The following is a 17,449-nucleotide window of genomic DNA, read 5'->3' as shown; positions in this document are numbered from 1 at the left end:
CCAGCTACTCGGGAGGCTGAGGCAGGAGAATGGCGTGAACCCAGGAGGTGGAGCTGGCAGTGAGCCAAGACTGCGCCACTGCACTCTAGCCTGGGCGACAGAGCGAGACTCCGTCTCGCAAAAAAAAAAAAAAGTTTACCAAGCCTTAATCTATGCCAATCTAAGAGAAATAATTATTGCTTTAATGGTCATTTCTTCCATTATGACTTTAACCATCTTATTATTTACTGATTACACATTTTTTCTTTCTGAACTGCCTATTCATTCAATTATTTTAAACTAATACATATGTTGCAAATATTTTCCCAGATTATTGTTTATCTTTTGACTTCTACAAAGTTTTAAATTTGTCAATTTCTGTTTTATGGCTTCTGGGTCCTATGTCAGACTTAGATTAATAAAACTACATACATTTTCTTCTAATATTTTTATTTAGTTTTCTGTTTTTCACTTAGATTATAAAGGAAAGAAAGAATATAAACCAGTATGTTCATATTGCTTAGGCCTGGGAAGTGGCATTTTAATTTTCTTCCCCTTGCAGTTTATTAAATAAATTCTCGGCCATGTGTGATGGCTCACTCCTGTAATCTCAGCAATTTAGGAGGCCATGGCAGGCAGATCTCTTGAGCCTGAGTTAGAGATCAACCTGAGTAATGCAGGGAGACCCCATGTCTACAAATAATAAAAAAATTAGCTGGGTGTCGTGGTGCACACCTGTAGTCCTGGCTACTCGGGAGGCTGAGGTGGGAAGATTGCTTGAGCCCAGGAGGTTGAGGCTGCGGTCAGCCATGTTCGTACTTCTGCACTCCAACCTGAATGACAGAGTCTCAAAAATAAATTAAATGAATAAAAAGGGAAGACCCCTACCTACCTTGTAGGGATGGTGATGGTTTGGAGCTAATTTAAATGAAGTGCAACATGGTATTAAATAATAATGGTATTTTTTCATAGCGGGTTTTATATTGGAAATAGTAAAAAAATTACTTGAAGTCATATCTCAATAAGGTAGCAGATTCAAGCTGAGGCATAACATTTGAGGCATACAGCAAAGTGTGGGTATATTGGAATGAATATGGATTTTTGCGAGGCTTATAAACTGTTTCAGAGGCTGTTCCTTTTTTTAAATTTTTTTTTAATTTTTTTTTTTTTTTGAGACAAAGTCTCACCCTTTCGCCCAGGCTGAAGTGCAATGGCGTGATCTCGGCTCACTGCAACCTCTGCCGCCTGGGTTCAAGTGATTCTCCTGTCTCAGCCTCCTGAGTAGCTGAGATTACAGGTGCGTGCCACCACGCCTGGCTAATTTTTTTTTGTATCTTCAGTAGAGGCAGGGTTTCACCATGTTGGCCAGGCTGGTCTCAAATTCCTGACCTCGTGATCCACCCGCCTTGGCCTCCCAAAGTGCTGAGATTACAAGCGTGAGCCACCATGCCTGGCCACTTAATTTTTATTTTTTGAGACAGAGTCTCACTCTGTTGCCCAGGCTGGAGTGCAGTGGCGTGATCTCAGCTCACTTCAACCTCTGCCTCCTGGGTTCAAGCGATTCTCCTGCCTTGTCCTCCCAAGTAGCTGGGATTACAGGCGCCTGCCACCACGCCCAACTAATTTTTTATATTTTTAGCAGAGACAGGGTTTTACCATGTTGGCCAGGGTGGTCTTGAACTCCTGACCTCAGGTGATCCACCCGCCTTGGCCTCCCAAAGTGCTGGTATTACAGGCATAAACCACCACCCCAGGTCTCAGAGGCAGTTTTAAAAGGTGAATTATGAATATGTTTGAGTTGTCCCCCTGCCTCTGTCAGCCTACTTTGAAGAAGACAACACTTACCTGCAATTGTTTTATTTTGTAATGTTGTTTTATTTAAGAAACAAAACAATCCTTACCCATATCTCTGGGTTTCATGCCAGTGCATCACTCTCAGGTTGTAAGCCTTTAGGCCAGTGGTTCTCATGGAGTAGAACTCAGAAAGACTCTGTGGGACTCATGGCTTTCATTATAATGACTATGGCATTAAGAGAATGTTTGCAAATATATAAAGGTCTTAAGAAGAAGTCTTTGGCTGAATGCAGTGGCTCACGCTTGTAATCCCAGCACTTTGGGAGGCTAGGGCAGGAGGATTGCTTGAGCCCAGGAGTTCAAGACCCAGCTTGGGTAACATAGTGAGACTCCATCTTTACAAAAAATTAAAAAAAAAAAAAAACTGGACAGGTGTGGTGGCATGCACCTGCAGTCCCAGCTACTTGGGAGGCTGAGGTGGGAGGATCACTTGAGCCCAGGAGTGGAGGCTGCAGTGAGCTATAATCATGAACTACACTCTAGCCTGGGCAACAGAGTAAGACTCTGTCTCAAAAAGAAAGGGGGGGCCTTTCATTGTCAGAGCGGTGGGGACTTAAGACAGAGAACCACTGCTCTAGGCGCCAGGGGCTGTCACACGTAGCTCCCCAGGGCACTGGCACAGCAGCACATGCAGTACGCACCTGTCCATTCTGATGGGCACCATGCTTGGGAGTCAGTGTCTGACCTGCTGTGTCTTTTAGGGTACTGAGAGCAGTTTCATCACCTAGGTCTAGGGCAGCAGAGGACAGCACTGGGATCCAACTCTTCCATCTTGAAGTAATACCAGTGGAGAACGTCAATCCAAGTTGATCCTATACATTCACCTCAAAACTCTCTCATGTGAAAAAGTGACTGAGTCACAAAAAACAGAACCTCCTTGTTACCTTCACAGGCTGATCCTGGGCTGAATCTGTCTCACTGCCTTTTTCTTTCTTCTTTTTTTGTTTCTTTTTCTTCTTTTTGGCTCCAGTGTCATTGGCTGGACTCAAACCACTGTAACAAAAAGTAAATACTAATGCAGGGTTTAAAAAAAATCTGTTTTGTGCTACCCCTGACAAAGAGCTTTCTGTGGAGCCAGACCTTCCTTAATCAAGCCTGTTGGCTTCAGAAGCAGGCTGAAGAACCCAGGTCCAGAAAGGGCATTTGGAGGACACCAGCACTCCTCCTGACTCGCGCCCCCTCGGCTTTCAGGGAGGGAGTGCTGGGCAAGGGATGTCCTATTTGTGTGAAAGGGCCTTTTCCGTTCTTGCTTTTATGTTGCTTATTTTCTTTATATTGCCAGGGTAATGGCACCAAAGACGAATGATAATTGTTAACAAGGCATTCATACCACAATACTTCCTTGAACTCTGAATGTAAAAGGATGACAGCCAAAAGGCAGTGATGGGCTTTCTGGAATGCTTTGCCCTTCCTTCCTCCACCTCCCAAATGTATTAGGTTTCATGATTTTCCCCAGCTGGATCTGGAGCACAAGACAGTATGAAAAGGGAGTGAGGGATGAGGAAAAAGGCACATTAACATTGCCACAATCTGTGTCCAAAATGGTCAGTCATGAGAAATGCCCAAATCAGCCAGGCGTGGTAGCTCACACCTGTAATCCCAACACTTTGGGAGGCCGAGGCAGGTGGATCACTTGAGGTCAGGAGTTTAAGGCCAGACTGGCCAACATGGCAAAACCCTGTTTCTACTAAAAATATAAACATTAGCTGGGGCCTGGTGGCACATGCCTGTAGTCCCAGCTACTCAGGAGGACGAGGCAGGAGAACTGCTTGAACCCGGGAGGTGGAGGTTGCAGTGAGTTGAGATCACGTCATTGCACTCCAGCCTGTATGACAGAGACAGACCTCGTCTCAAAAAAAGGAAAAGGCAGCAATGCGCGGTGGCTCACACCTGTAATCTCAGCACTTTGGGAGGCCGAGGCGGGCAGATCATGAGGTCAGGAGATCAAGACCATCCTGGCTAACATGTTGAAACCCCATCTCTACTAAAAATACAAAAAAATTAGCCGGGCACGGTGGCGGGCGCCTGTAGTCCCAGCTACTCGGGAGGCTGAGGCAGGAGAATGGTGTGAACCTGGGAGGTAGAGCTTGCAGTGAGCCGAGATCATGCCACTGCATTTCAGCCTGGGTGACAAAGCGAGACTCTGTCTCAAAAAAAAAAAAAAAAAAAAAGGAAAAGGCTGGGTGTGGTGGCTCACACCTGTAATCTCAGCACTTTGGGAGGCCAAGGCAGGCGGATCACCTGAGGTGCAGAGTTCGAGACCAGCCTGACCAACATGGAGAAAGCCTGTCTCTACTAAAAATACAAAATAAGCCGGGCATGGTGGCGCATGCCTGTAATCCCAGCTACTCGGGAGGCTAAGGCAGGAGAATCGCTTGAACCCAGGAGGCAGAGGTTGTTGTGAGCCAAGATCGCGCCACGGCACTCCAGCCTGGGAAACAAGAGCGAAACTCCGTCTCAAAAAAAAAAGGGAAAAAAAAAAGAAATGCCTAAACCAGATCTGCAGGATTGAGGACAACTGTCGGCAAGCTCAGACTGAGGGATCACCACTGGCAAAACCCAGCATTAGGAATCTTGGGAAACTAAAACAACAATAGCACCCAGTTACTCCTGCCATGGAGAGATTACAAGAAACATGTGGCCGGGCGCAGTGGCTCACGCCTGTAATCCCAGTATTTTGGGAGGCCGAGGCGGGCGGATCACTAGGTCAGGAGATTGAGACCATTCTGGCTAAATGGTAAAACACCGTCTCTACTAAAAATACAAAAAATTAGCCAGGCGTGGTGGCAGGCGCCTATAGTCCCAGCTACTTGGGAGGCTGAGGTAGGAGAATGGCGTGAACCTGGGAGGCGGAGCTTGCAGTGAGCCGAGATTGCGCCACTGCACTCCAGCCTGGGCGACAGAGCGAGACTCCGTCTCAAAAAATAAAAATAAATAAATAAATAAAAGAAACATGTCTGTGTGTATGCACGTGTGCATGTGTGCACGTGATCAAGGGGACTTCCTTGTGCTGCTTTCCCCTACATGACACACCCCATGAATGAAGCAAAAAGTTTCTTAGCCTCATTAATGTTTTATTAAATTAAAAAATAGAGACAGGGGTCTCCCTATGTTACCCAGGCTGGTCTCAAATTCTAGGTTTGAGTGATCCTGCTGCCTTGAACTCCCAAAGTGCTGGGATTACAGGTGTGAGCCACCATGCTCAGCCTCTTAGCCACACTGAAAAGTCAAAATTGGCTGGGCGCGGTGGCTTATGCCTGTAATCCCAGCACTTTGGGAAGCCGCGGCAGACAGATCATGAGGTCAGGAGTTCGAGACCAGCCTGACCCACATGGTGAAACCCCGTCTCTACTAAAAATACAAAATTAGCCAGGCGTGGAGGCATGCGCCTGTAATCCCAGCTACTTGGGAGGCTGAGGCAGGAGAACTGCTTGAACCCGGGAGGCTGTGGTTGCAGTGAGCCAATATCATGCCATTGCACTCCAGCTCTGGGCGACAGAGCAAGACTCCATCTTGGGGAAAAAAAAAAAAAGAAAAAGAAAAGAAAAGAAAAAAAGAAAAGTCAAAATTAGGAGTCCAACCTGAGTACAGTGAATCCTAATCTGTAGAATCAGCTAAACACAGAGGTAATTTTAACTGTATATTTTAGACAATCAATTTTCAAATAATTGAAAGGTCCAGCATGGTGGGTCATGCCTGTAATCCCAACACTTTGGGAGGAAAAGGCAGGCGGATCACTTGAGCTCAGGAGTTTGAGACCAGCCTGGGCAACATGGCGAAACCCCGTCTCTAACACAAATCCAAAAATTAGCCAGGTGTGGTGGTGCACACTTGTAGTCCCAACTACTGGGGAGGCTGAGTTGAGAGGTTGGCTTGAAGCCTGGGAGGAGGAGCCTGCAGTGAGCTAAAATCGCACAACTATACTCCAGCCTGGGCAATACAGCCAGACACTGTCTCAAAACAAACAAACAAACAAACAAAAAAACACCAAAACCCCCAAGAATTAAAACAATATAAAATACAATTTTCCATTAACATTATGTTAAATACAATTTATAATTCAGAAAGACTTCAGGGTCTCAAAATGCCTCGGAGTTATTATGAATATTACTATCATCTCACAGACAGATACTGTGTATATATATATATACAGGGAGAAAGTGATCTGAAATCACATGCTGCCAATTCTCTTCACAGAATGTCTTCAGATTCTCCTATCTCTTCCTGTTCCTGGGAGGAATGCTCACATCCAGACTTCATGACCTTACCCTTGGACTTAAGTTACCTCCAGCCTTTTCTGGATCTCTTTGCCTTCACAATCTTTCTGCATCACCTGAACTCTATATAGCTGTGGGACTCACCTCTGTGAAAATGGCTTTCCATGTGTCCCCCCCATGCTTGAAATCCTAGAGTAACAGCGGCTTCTTAACTTGGAAGGTATCAAGCCCAATTTTTCCCTAGGCCTATCACCCTCATTTCCCACTTACGCTGTCCACTCTTGCCTCCCACAGCTTCCATCTGGCCGGGCCTCTCAGTGCCCCTGATGCAGAAAGACTGTGACAGGGAGAGATCCAGTTAAGTCTGAAGGTTCCTTTAGTCCAAGCATAAGGTCATGAAGTCTAGATGCAAGTACACCTACTTGGTATGATATTAATGAGACCCAGAAGGCATTAACATGGAAGGAAGACTGAGAACATTCAAAGGGGAAATAAGGTAACTTCCTTAAAACCAGATGCTCAGCAAAACCCCCAAGGCCATGGCAAACAACAGAAACCATAAAGTCATTTATGGCCTAAAGATAACTTCTTCTTCTTAGTAACTCAATTTTGTTATTGCACACAGGACCATCTGCAGCCTAGGACAACTCTGTGGTTTTCCTACTCCAGATATTTTCACTTCAGTCTCAGGATTACGTGAAGCATTATAAGATTTAAAAACTGGCTCATAGGCTGGGTGCGGTGGCTCACGCCTGTAATCTCAGCACTTTGGGAGGCCAAGGCAGGCGGATCACCTGAGGTCGGGAGTTCGAGACCAGCCTGACCAATAAGGAGAAACCCTGTCTCTACTAAAAATACAAAATTAGCCGGGCGTGGTGGCACATGCCTGTAATCCCAGCTACTCGGGAGGCTGAGGCAGGAGAATCACTTGAACCTGGGAGGTGAAGATTGTGGTAAGCCAAGATTGCACCACTATACTACAGCCTGGGTAAGAAGATCAAAACTCCATCTCAAAAAACAAACAAACAAGACCTGGCTGATATTAGGAGACAAAGCAGTGTCCCATTGTTGGATACAATTTATAATATAAATTCTTATTCATAACAGCTTATGGAACAAATTATCTGGTCCATAACCACAAATTAGCTGGTTCCATAACAGCTTATGGAACAAATTATGGTAATATGAATTACCATAAGAATAACTTTTTATAATTCTACAAAAGAAAGAATCAAAAAGGTAAGGTGAAGAACTGCTGTAGATTAACCAACTGGATACTTACTAAACATAATTTCACATGGGGAAAATAATTACTTCTTCCAACTTTAAAAGTCTTTACAAATATGCAAAATCACTGTAAAAACTACCTTCCTGCCTTTGTTCTTCCTATTTAGCGGAGATACTTCCATGTAGCTATCACCTCATGAACCCAATTTTTGTGGAAGGATCTTGGGCTGAACTCTTGTTCTGCTTTATGCATTGCCAATACAAGTATCTAGAAATCTCCAAGACCGAAACTAAAATCAGAGAGCAAATTTCATTTTCTTTATATTGGCTTGAATTTGTACAAGCAGCCAGTTACTGAGCAAAAATCCTGTTTCAACTTGTACATCAAGCACACGGCTGAAGAACACAGGGAAGTTGTTTTTTCTTTTCTTTTTTTTTTTTTGAGACAGAGTTTCACTCTTGTTGCCCAGGCTGGAGTGCAATGGCACGATCTCAGCTCACTGCAGCCTCCGCCTCCTAGGTTCAAGGGATTCTCCTGCCTCAGCTTCCCAAGTAGTTGGGATTATAAGCATGTGCCATCACACCCAGCTAATTTTTGTATTTTTAGTAGAGACAGGGTCTCACCAAGTTGGTCAGTCTGGTCTCAAACTCCTGACCTCAGGTGATTCACCTGCCTCAGCTTCCCAAAGTACTAGGATTACAGGCATGAGCCACCGTGCCTGGCCACTTTTTTTTTTTTTTCTTTAATGAGTCATTTTCACTGAGCTACCAAGTATTGAGCCCCATCCGTGAGGACACATTATGAGTACACATAGTCTTACAGTCAACACCCCCAAACAGAAGACAACCAATTCAGCAAAACCAGACTTCCAAGGAGCCCACTCCAGTTAGCTTTCATGGTAATTATAATAATTTTAATTATTCATAGGGAACCAAGCTCAGAGGCCTTGAGAGTAGAACTTCAAAAAGCATCCTAGCAAGCCAACGCCACTTCACAGAAGAATGGCCTCAATTTGGACTAAGGGAAAACAAAACTAGAGGACCCCACAGAAGCCAGGCTAATCCTTCTCCAGGAATCTGGCATCATTTTTTGTTTGTTTCTTGATTCATGTTTTTTGTTTTTGAGATGGAGTCTCGCTCTGTCACCCAGGCTGGAGTACAATGGCACAATCTTGGCTCACTGCAGCCTCCTCATCACAGGTTCCAGTGATTCTTCTGCCTCAGCCTCCTGGGTAGCTGGGAATACAGGCACATACCACCATACCCAGCTAATCTGTGTATTTTTAGTAGAGATGAGGTCTCGCCATGTTGGTCAGGCTGGTCTTGAACTCCTGACTTCAGGTGATCTGCCTGCCTCAGCCGCTCAAAGTGCTAGGATTACAGGCGTAAGCCACCGTGCCTGGCCTCTTTTTTTGTTTTGTTTTGAGACGGAGTCTTGCTCTGTTGCCAGCCTGGAGTGCAGTGCCGTGTTCTCAGCTCACTGCAACCTCCGCCTCCTGGGTTCAGCGATTCTCCTGCCTCAGCCTCCTGAGTAGCTGGGACTACCACCATGCCTGGCTAATTTTTCATACTTTTAGTAGAGACGGGGTTTCACCATGTTGGCCAGGCTGGTCTTGAACTCCTGACCTCATGATCTGCCAGCCTTGGCCTCCCAAAGTGCTGGGATTACAGGCGTGAGCCACCACGCCCAGCCATTTTTTTTTTTTTAAGACAAGAGTCTCGCTCTGTTGCCCAGCCTCTAGTGCAGTGGTGTGATCTCGGCTCACTGCAACCTCCACCTCCCAGGTTCAAGCAAATCCTCACACCTCGGCCTCCTGAGTAGCTGGGATTACAGGCGCCCAGCATCAGGCCCAGCTAATTTTTATATTTTTAGTAGAGACGGGGTTTCACCATGTTGGCCAGTCTGGTCTTGGACTCCTGACCTCAAGTGATCCACTCACCTCAGCCTCCCAACATGCTAGGATTACAGGCGTGAGCCACCGCACCTGGCTGTTTGTTCATTTTTGAGACAGGGTCTTGCTCTGTCACCCAGGCTGGAGTGCAGTGGCACGATCATGGCTCACTGCAGCCTCCAGCTCCTGCCTCCAACTCCTGGCTCAAACAATCCTCCTGCTTCAGCATCCTGAGTAATTGGGGCTACAGGTGTGCACCACCATGCCTGGCTAATTTTAGGCTGGGCTCAAACTCCTGGGCTCAAGCAATCCTCCTGCCTTGGCCTCCAAAAGTGCTGGGATTATGGGAATGAGCCACCGTGCCTGGCTGGCATCCTTTTTAAAGGGATTTGAAGTCCACACCCACTGGGTGGGAATCCTAGGGCATGCTGCGATTCGGCACACTGAAATAGAAATCTCTCACAGATCTAAGCTGCCAGTCACCTTATTTCAAACTGAGATTGGCCAGAACCAGAATCTTAGAATACAGCAAACCAAAGTCCAACTTGTTTCACTTGGTTCCAAAATAAAGAGTAGAGAATTCAGTAAAGTTTGCCTTGGTGCAGCAACAGAAGTGCCTCCTCCCCCAGAAGGCAGATGGCAGTTCATACAAAAATTGTGAGACTTATATTCTAAAGTTGATCAACTCAAGAAGTCATCAATGACCAACCTAGCAAATACAGGGTGAATTAGAATAAAAGATCCAGGAACAGAGCAGAAAAGCAATCAAGAAATGTCATCTCGGCCGGGCACGATGGCTCACGCCTGTAATACCAGCACTTTGGGAGGCCGAGGTGGGCAGATCACGAGGTCAGGAGATCGCGACCATCCTGGCTAACATGGTGAAACCCCGTCTCTACTAAAAAACAATACAAAAAAATTAGCTGGGCGTGGTGGTGGGCGCCTGTAGTCCCAGCTACTCGGGAGGCTGAGGCAGGAGAATGGCGTGAACCCAGGAGGCGGAGCTTGCAGTGAGCAGAGAACCAGCCACTGCACTCCGGCCTGGGCGACTGAGCGAGACTCTGTCTCAAAAAAAAAAAAAAAGTCATCTTTTAATGAAGACCAAAATGTTACAAGTTCAAAGATGTAAGACATCCTAAGGATGCTCCTGTATAAATTCAGACCTTGGGGAGGAGATGGAAAACTAACTTCAGTACTTATTTCTAGAAATAGAGCGCAATGCTGGGTATGTGAGCGGGTGGGAGGTAAGGGTAAGCTGGCAGATGAACAGCAGGAGAAGAGGAACTTCTAGACAACAGGAGCAGCGAGGGTCCATATGTGGGCCTCCTCTCAGTCTTACTGGATGATGCAATCCGCTCAAAACTGCATGCCTGGGAAGAAAAAGCTCTATCATAGGGGAGGGGAAGCTGAGCTTCCAACACTGGAATCTCAGAACCATCTGGCTTAACTTGTTGTTTACAGATGAGGAAACTAAGGCCCAGAGATGTGAGGCAAATTGGTTATCAACCAACCAACTAGCATCTAGGGAGGAGCCATCAATCTCTAAAGACTTGGCTTGGGGCCATTTCCCCCCAAAGGCTATGGCTTCGTTCCCTGTAAGAATTGATTTGAGAATCCTCCAAAGCCAAGAGAATATTGTTTCCTCACACTGGGCTATAGAACACAGCTTTGGTGTTTGAGAGGAGCAAGCATTAGAAGTAATGAGGAAAGTGAGTCATGTTTTATCCAGAAAGTCAGCTCTGACTATTCTAGTTCTCTGATGTCTGCCTGTTTTAAAACTATAATCTCCTAAAACACTTAATATATAATAATATATTGCTTTCTTGGCTTCCCGATGACATTAACAATTTCCTAAGAATAGGGACTACATCTTTTTTTTTTTTGAGACAGAGTCTTGCTCTGTTGCCCAGGCTGGAGTGCAGTGGCGTGATCTTGGCTCACTGCAACCTCCGCCTCCTGGGTTCAAGCGATTCTCTTCCTCAGCCTCCTGAAAAGCTGGGATTTCAGGCATGTGCCATCATGCCTGGCTAATTTTTGTATTTTTAGTAGAGACAGGGTTTCACCATGTTGGCCAGGCTGGTCTCGAACTCCTGGCCTCAAGTGATCTGCCTCAGCCTCCTACAGTGCTGGGATTACGGGTGTGAGCCACCGCGCCCGGCCAGACTACATCTTATACAGCTGCTTCCCACAGCGCCTCTAGTTGTGCTGAGCACACAGTTAACAGTTCAACAATTATATGCTTGACTGATGCTTTACAGGCATAATAGACTAAAATAAGACCTTGAAAAGCTAGAGCCCAAAAGAGGGTCAGCAAAACATCTTCAGTTCTGTTTGCACAGGACAGCTGTGTTAATATTCTATGAGAGCAATGGAAATGCTGTGCTCTTGAGCTACTGATTGGGATTTTAAATTATCAACTTTCTTTTTTTATTAAAAAAAATAGGCCAGGCGCGGTGGCTCACGCCTGTAATCCCAGCACTTTGGGAGGCCGAGGCGGGTGGATCACGACGTCAGGAGATCGAGACCATCCTGGCTAACATGGTGAAACCCCGTCTCTACTAAAAACGCAAAAAATTAGGCAGGCATCGTGGCGGGCGCCTGTAGTCCCAGCTACTCGGGAGGCTGAGGCAGGAGAATGGCGTGAACCCGGGAGGCGGAGCTTGCAGTGAGCTGAGATCGCACCACTGCACTCCAGCCTGGGCAAGAGAGAGAGACTCCATCTCAAAAAAAAAAATAGGCCAGGTGCGGTGGCTCACACCTGTAATCCCAGCACTTTGGGAGACCAAGGTGGGTGGATCAGCTGAGGTCAGGAGTTTCAGATCAGCCTGGCCAACATGGCGAAACCCCATCTCTACTAAAAAAATAGAAAAATTAGCCAGGTGTGGTGGTGGTACACGCCTGTAATCCCAGCTACTTGGGAGGCTGAGGCAGAAGAATCGCTTGAACCTGGGAGGGGGAGGTTGCAGTGAGCTGAGATCACACTACTGCACTCCAGCCTGAGTGAGACTCCATCTCAAATAAAAAAATACTGAGTTTTTTTTTTTTTGTAAAGACAGTTTCTTACTCTGTTACCCAGGCTGGAGTGCAGTGGCACAATCATGGCTCACTGCAGCCTCAACCTCCCAGGTTCAAGCGATCATCTCACCTCAGCCTCCTGCGTAGCTGGGACTACAGGCGTACGCCACCATACCTGGCTAATTTTTATATGTTTTGTAGAGACAAAGTTTCTCTATGTTGCCCAGGCTGGTCTTGAATTCCTGGACTCAAGCTATCCACCTGCTTCAATTTCCCAAAATGCTGGGATTACAGATGTGAGCTACCATGTCCAGCCCTAATTTTCTTATTCATTGTCTTCTCTCTCCTTAGGCTCTGTCCTACTCCTTGAGAAGCTAAAACAGGTCCAGCCAGGTGTGGTGGTGTGAACTTGTAGTCCCAGCTACTGAGGAAGCTGAGGCGGGAGGATCTCTTGAGCCCAGGAGTCTCACGATGTAGTAGTGCCCCACGACCACGCTTGTGAATAGCCACTGTACTCCATCCTGGGTGACAAAGTGAGACCCCATCTCTAATAAGTAAATAAAGCACAAACAAAAAAGCTCTAATGTAACTACTTCTAATGGTTTCAATGTCTTAAACACAGACCACAGGTTTACAACATAAGAAAAAAAAGTTTGGGAAATAAAATTCACAAATTTGGCCACTTTTCTTTTTCACTGTAGCTCTCAGATCTCATGGCCACTTGCTTTTTACTTTTATTTTTCAAAGGCTAGTCAAGTGAAGCAGTGGGAGTGGAAAAGGAACAAAGAAATCTATAACTGGTTATGACAAATTAGTCGTAAACACCACTGCACTTGGACCAGCCACCACTTGTTTTCTACCTCTGAAAAACAAAAAGACAGGAGTTAGAGATCAGCCTGGGCAACATAGTGAGATCTTGTCTCTACACACACAGACAAAAAAATTAGCCTGTAGTCCCAGTCACTCGGGAGGCTGAAGTAGGAGGACTGCACCATGGCACTACGATCTGGGTGACAGAGTGAAACCTTGTCTCAAATAAAAAATGAATTTTTTGGGCAGAAATTCAAATTTTCCAGAGAAACTTATTAAAATAAACTCTAACCTCTAATATCCTTTTGATTCTACTTTTAGACATCAGGAAATCCTTTTGCAAATCAATTAACTCTTGAAGTATGGTAAGTTCACTAATAATCCTATTAGTACTCAGAAAGACCAAAGAGAGGTGAATGAAATGGCAAAGATGCCCAGAAGGAAATGACATGGCATGAATCAGTATCAGCTGTCTAGTCTCTGTACTTCTGCGGCTAAGGATCACTCAGTGCAATACCCCCAACTCCGCACATTCCCACCAATTAGTTATATCAAAAACTGCTTGTGAATCCCAAATGATGGGAAAAATAAAAACACTTTAGTACTGCCATCAAGGTACCCTGGGGCTGGGCACAGTGGCTCATGCCTGTAATCCCAGCACTTTGGGAGGCCAAGGCGGGCAGATCACCTAAGGTCTGGAGCTCGAGACAAGCCTGGCCAACATAGCAAAACCCTTCTCTACTAAAAATTACAAAAATTGGCCAGGCGCGGTGGCTCACGCCTGTAATTCCAGCTCTTAGGGAGGCCGAGGTGGGCGGATCATGAGGTCAGGAGATCGAGACCATCCTGGCTAATACGGTGAAACCCCGTCTCTACTAAAAATACAAAAAATTAGCCGGGCGTGGTGACGGGCGACTACAGTCCCAGCTACCCAGGAGGCTGAGGCAGGAGAATGGCGTGAGCCCGGGAGACGCAGCTTGCAGTGAGCCAAGACCGCGCCACTGTACTCCAGCCTGGGTGACAGAGCGAGACTCTGTCTCAAAAATAAAAAATAAAAATTAGCTAGGCATGGTGGCGGGTGCCTGTAATCCCAGCTACTTGAGAGGCTGAGGCAAGAGAATAGTTTGAACCCAGGAGGCAGAGGTTGCAGTGAGCCGAGATTACGCCACTGCACTCCAGCCTGGGTGAGAGTGAGACTCCATCTCACACACACACACACAAAAAAAGGTACCCTGGGAGGTCTGTGAAGAGAACAGCAGGTTATAAAAAGGGATTACAAAAGACCACTTTTGCTGCCACCCTCGGCCCTCCCTGGGATAGTAAGCCAGAGTACTGAGGGTGAACGAGCCAATTCTTGTCATGGACGATAACTGCTTTTTAGAGGTCACAAAAGCTCTGGTATACTAAACTCCTTAAAACCGGAATGAGACAAATGTGTATATTCCACACTGAGTTTGTTTGGCGAGTTAGACTTTGACTTTGCAACTCCAAGGTAAAATCAAATGCTGTTCAGAGACCATTATCAAGAATATGTTGAGCAGTGGCTCAATGCTGGCAGAAATCTCACCTACTAGAATGACTTTTTTTTTTTTTTTTGAGATGGAGTCTCACTGTTGCCAGGCTGGAGTGCAGTGGTGCGATTAGAATGACTTCTGAAAATAATATTTGTCTATCATGAAGAGACAAACTGGGTCCCAAGTTTGGGAACGTCCATAGGCTGTTAAATGGAGCCAAAGATAGGATTCACACTGCTGCAGACTCAAGATGCAGAACTCAATTCAGCAGGGGAAAGAAACCTAGCAAGTTCAGAATGGATCCTCTGAGATGTCAAAGAGACCAGTGGAGATGCAAATCTCAAGCCTCACTATAAAAACTAAAGTCTAGCTGGGCGCAGTGGTGGCTCATGCCTGTAATCCCAGCACTTTGGGAGGCTGAGGTGGGCAGATCACGAGATTAGGAGTTCCAAGACCAGCCTGGCCAAGATGGTGAAACCCCATCTCTACTAAAAATACAAAAATCAGCTGGGCGTGGTGGCATGTGCCTGTAGTCCCAGCTATCCAGGAGGCTGAGGCAGGAGAATCACTGGAACCTGGGAGGTGGAGGTTGTGGTGAGCCAAGATCACGCCACTGCACTCCAGCCTGGGCAACAGAGCGAGACTCTGTCTCAAAAATAAATAAATAAATAAATAAATAAATAAATAATAAAAAATAAAGTCTGGCCAGGCATGGTGGCTCACGCCTGTAATCCCAGCACTTTGGGAGGACAAGGAGGATGGATCACGAGGTCAGGAGTTCAAGACCAGCCTGGCCAAGATGGTGAAACCCCGTCTCTACTAAAACTACAAAAGTTAGTTAGGCACAGTGGCAGGCACCTGTAATCCCAGCTACTTAGGAGGCTGACGCAGGAGAGTCGCTTGAACCTGGGTGGCAGAGGTTGCAGTGAGCCGAGATCGCGCCACTGCACTCCAGCCTGGGCGACAGAGTGAGACTCTGTCTCAAAAAAACCCAAAAAAACAAAAAACTAAAGTCCAGGCATGGTGGCTCACGCCTGTAATAATCCCAGCACTTTGGGAGGCCAAGGCAGGTGGACTGCTTGAGGCCAGGAGTTCGAGACCAGCCTGACCAACATGGCAAAACCGTGTCTCTATTAAAAATACAGAAATTAGCCGGGAATGGTGGTGCACACCTGTGATCCCAGCTATTTGGGAGGTTAAGACACAAGAATTGCTTGAACCTGTAAGGCAGAGGTTGTAGTGAGCTAAGATCGTGCCACTGTACTCCAGCCTGGGCGACAGAGTGAGACTCAAAAAAAGAAACAAACAAACAAAAATCGCTAAAGTCTTCATAAGTGAAATCATGGAGGATATAATCCAAGTAAAGGGCTTAGCACAATGCCCACTACGTAGTAATAATAGTAACATTTACTAAACACTTAACCATAGTGACTCCTCAGTTGTCTCTCAAGAGAGCAGCTCTAGAAAGTTGTTGTTCTGTTTATTTTTTTGAGATGGAGGCTCTCTCTGTCGCCCAGACTGAAGTGCAATGGCGCCATCTGGGCTCACTGCAACCTCTGCCTCCCGGGTTCAAGTGATTCTCTTGTCTCAGCCTCCCATGTAGCTGGGACTACAGGTGTGTGCCACCACGCCCAGCTAATTTTTGTATTTTTAGTAGAGATGGGGTTTTGCCATGTTGGCCCGGCTGGTCTCGAACTCCTGACCTCAAGTGATCTGCGCACTTCAGCCTCTCAAAGTGCTGGGACATTTTTGAGGCAAATACTGAGCCTATGGAGGAATTCCGGTTTAGTATTTTTGGCGCTCTCAATAGAGAACACCATATTTTTGTCCCTTAAATGTAACAATCACAAGGACATCTTCTTTGAGGAATTGGAAGAGAGGCCTGAAGGGTAGAGATTTCAGATAAAAAGCTGAAGAGAAAGAGTTAAAGAAGCATCCTCCTGAAGTTACTAAATGTATGGCTCATAAATCTATGGGCTCTATAGGGAAAGGGTTAACTGCCAACTTAGTAAAGCTGGGGAATTTTAGCGTGAGCATATTAGTTGAACAATGTGAAAAATCAGCAAAACTGCTGTGCCATGAGCAGCGAGTCCCTGAAATAGGCTCTCATTTACTTTCCATTTCTTCTGCTTTCCAGTCTCTTCTCTTTGAAGCAGCTCTTGATTAGTTTCTTTTTAATTGCCATTTAATTGGGAAACAAAATTAGAACACTTATTTGATATCAGTGATGAGGTTTCTCTTTCCATTCTGCTTTGATCTAGTTTTGAAAAACCAAAAGTTGAAGGGAGAAATTAAAAAGGAACTAAAAAGATTTCTTATTTCCAAGAGCTAGCTGCAGCTATAAGCCATCAAATAAATAGGGAAAGAACGACTCTTGGAGAAGCTGAAGAAAAAAACAAAAACAAGTAAGGCTAGCTTTATGGAATTTATTTTCAGAAAGACTTTTCTCTCCTCCTAAGTTTTCATAAGGGATAGTATCTCACAACCAGGAAATGAGGAGAACTTATAAAGAATCCATGTTAACCTGTCCCAGGGAGTAAGAGAGCAGGATGGAGATGAGACACCTCTTGTCAGAGGGCTCTTGACCCGTGCTTACCAGGATCTCAATGACACTGAAGACACTGCAAAATAAATTCCGAAAGATTCCTAGAACACAATAGTCTAAAAGTTCTTTTTTGTTCCAAAACACTCAGACAATCTTCACTTATTACCCCCAAATTAAAATCTGCCAACTGATGAGATTTATTCTTTGGCAATACTTCTTGGAAAGACTCTCATTAAAAAAAAAAAAAAATCAAATTAAACCATATAGATGAATCACGAACTACAGGGGGATGCTGCATAAAGGTTATCTTATCTGACTCTCCTCTCAATTGTTCAGGATAATTACGCTAGGCACGTAACTGGGGGAAATTGAGTGCAGTAAAAAAACAAACAAAAC

General features: G+C 45.6%; 1 protein-coding gene across 1 annotated transcript in view; it reads right to left on the bottom strand.

The window, feature by feature from the left end:
* The window catches only part of NMT1 (N-myristoyltransferase 1), a 47,700-nt gene that overhangs the window by 24,547 nt on the left and 5,704 nt on the right, over positions 1-17,449 (bottom strand). The window contains exon 2 of the mRNA NM_021079.5: positions 2,718-2,826. Within this exon, the coding sequence (NP_066565.1) occupies positions 2,718-2,826 (109 nt within the window). The remainder of the gene's footprint in view (positions 1-2,717; positions 2,827-17,449) is intronic.

This window comes from Homo sapiens, chromosome 17 (assembly GCF_000001405.40).
Source record: "Homo sapiens chromosome 17, GRCh38.p14 Primary Assembly".
NCBI lineage: Eukaryota > Metazoa > Chordata > Mammalia > Primates > Hominidae > Homo > Homo sapiens.
This window is presented reverse-complemented; position numbering and strand designations above follow the sequence as displayed.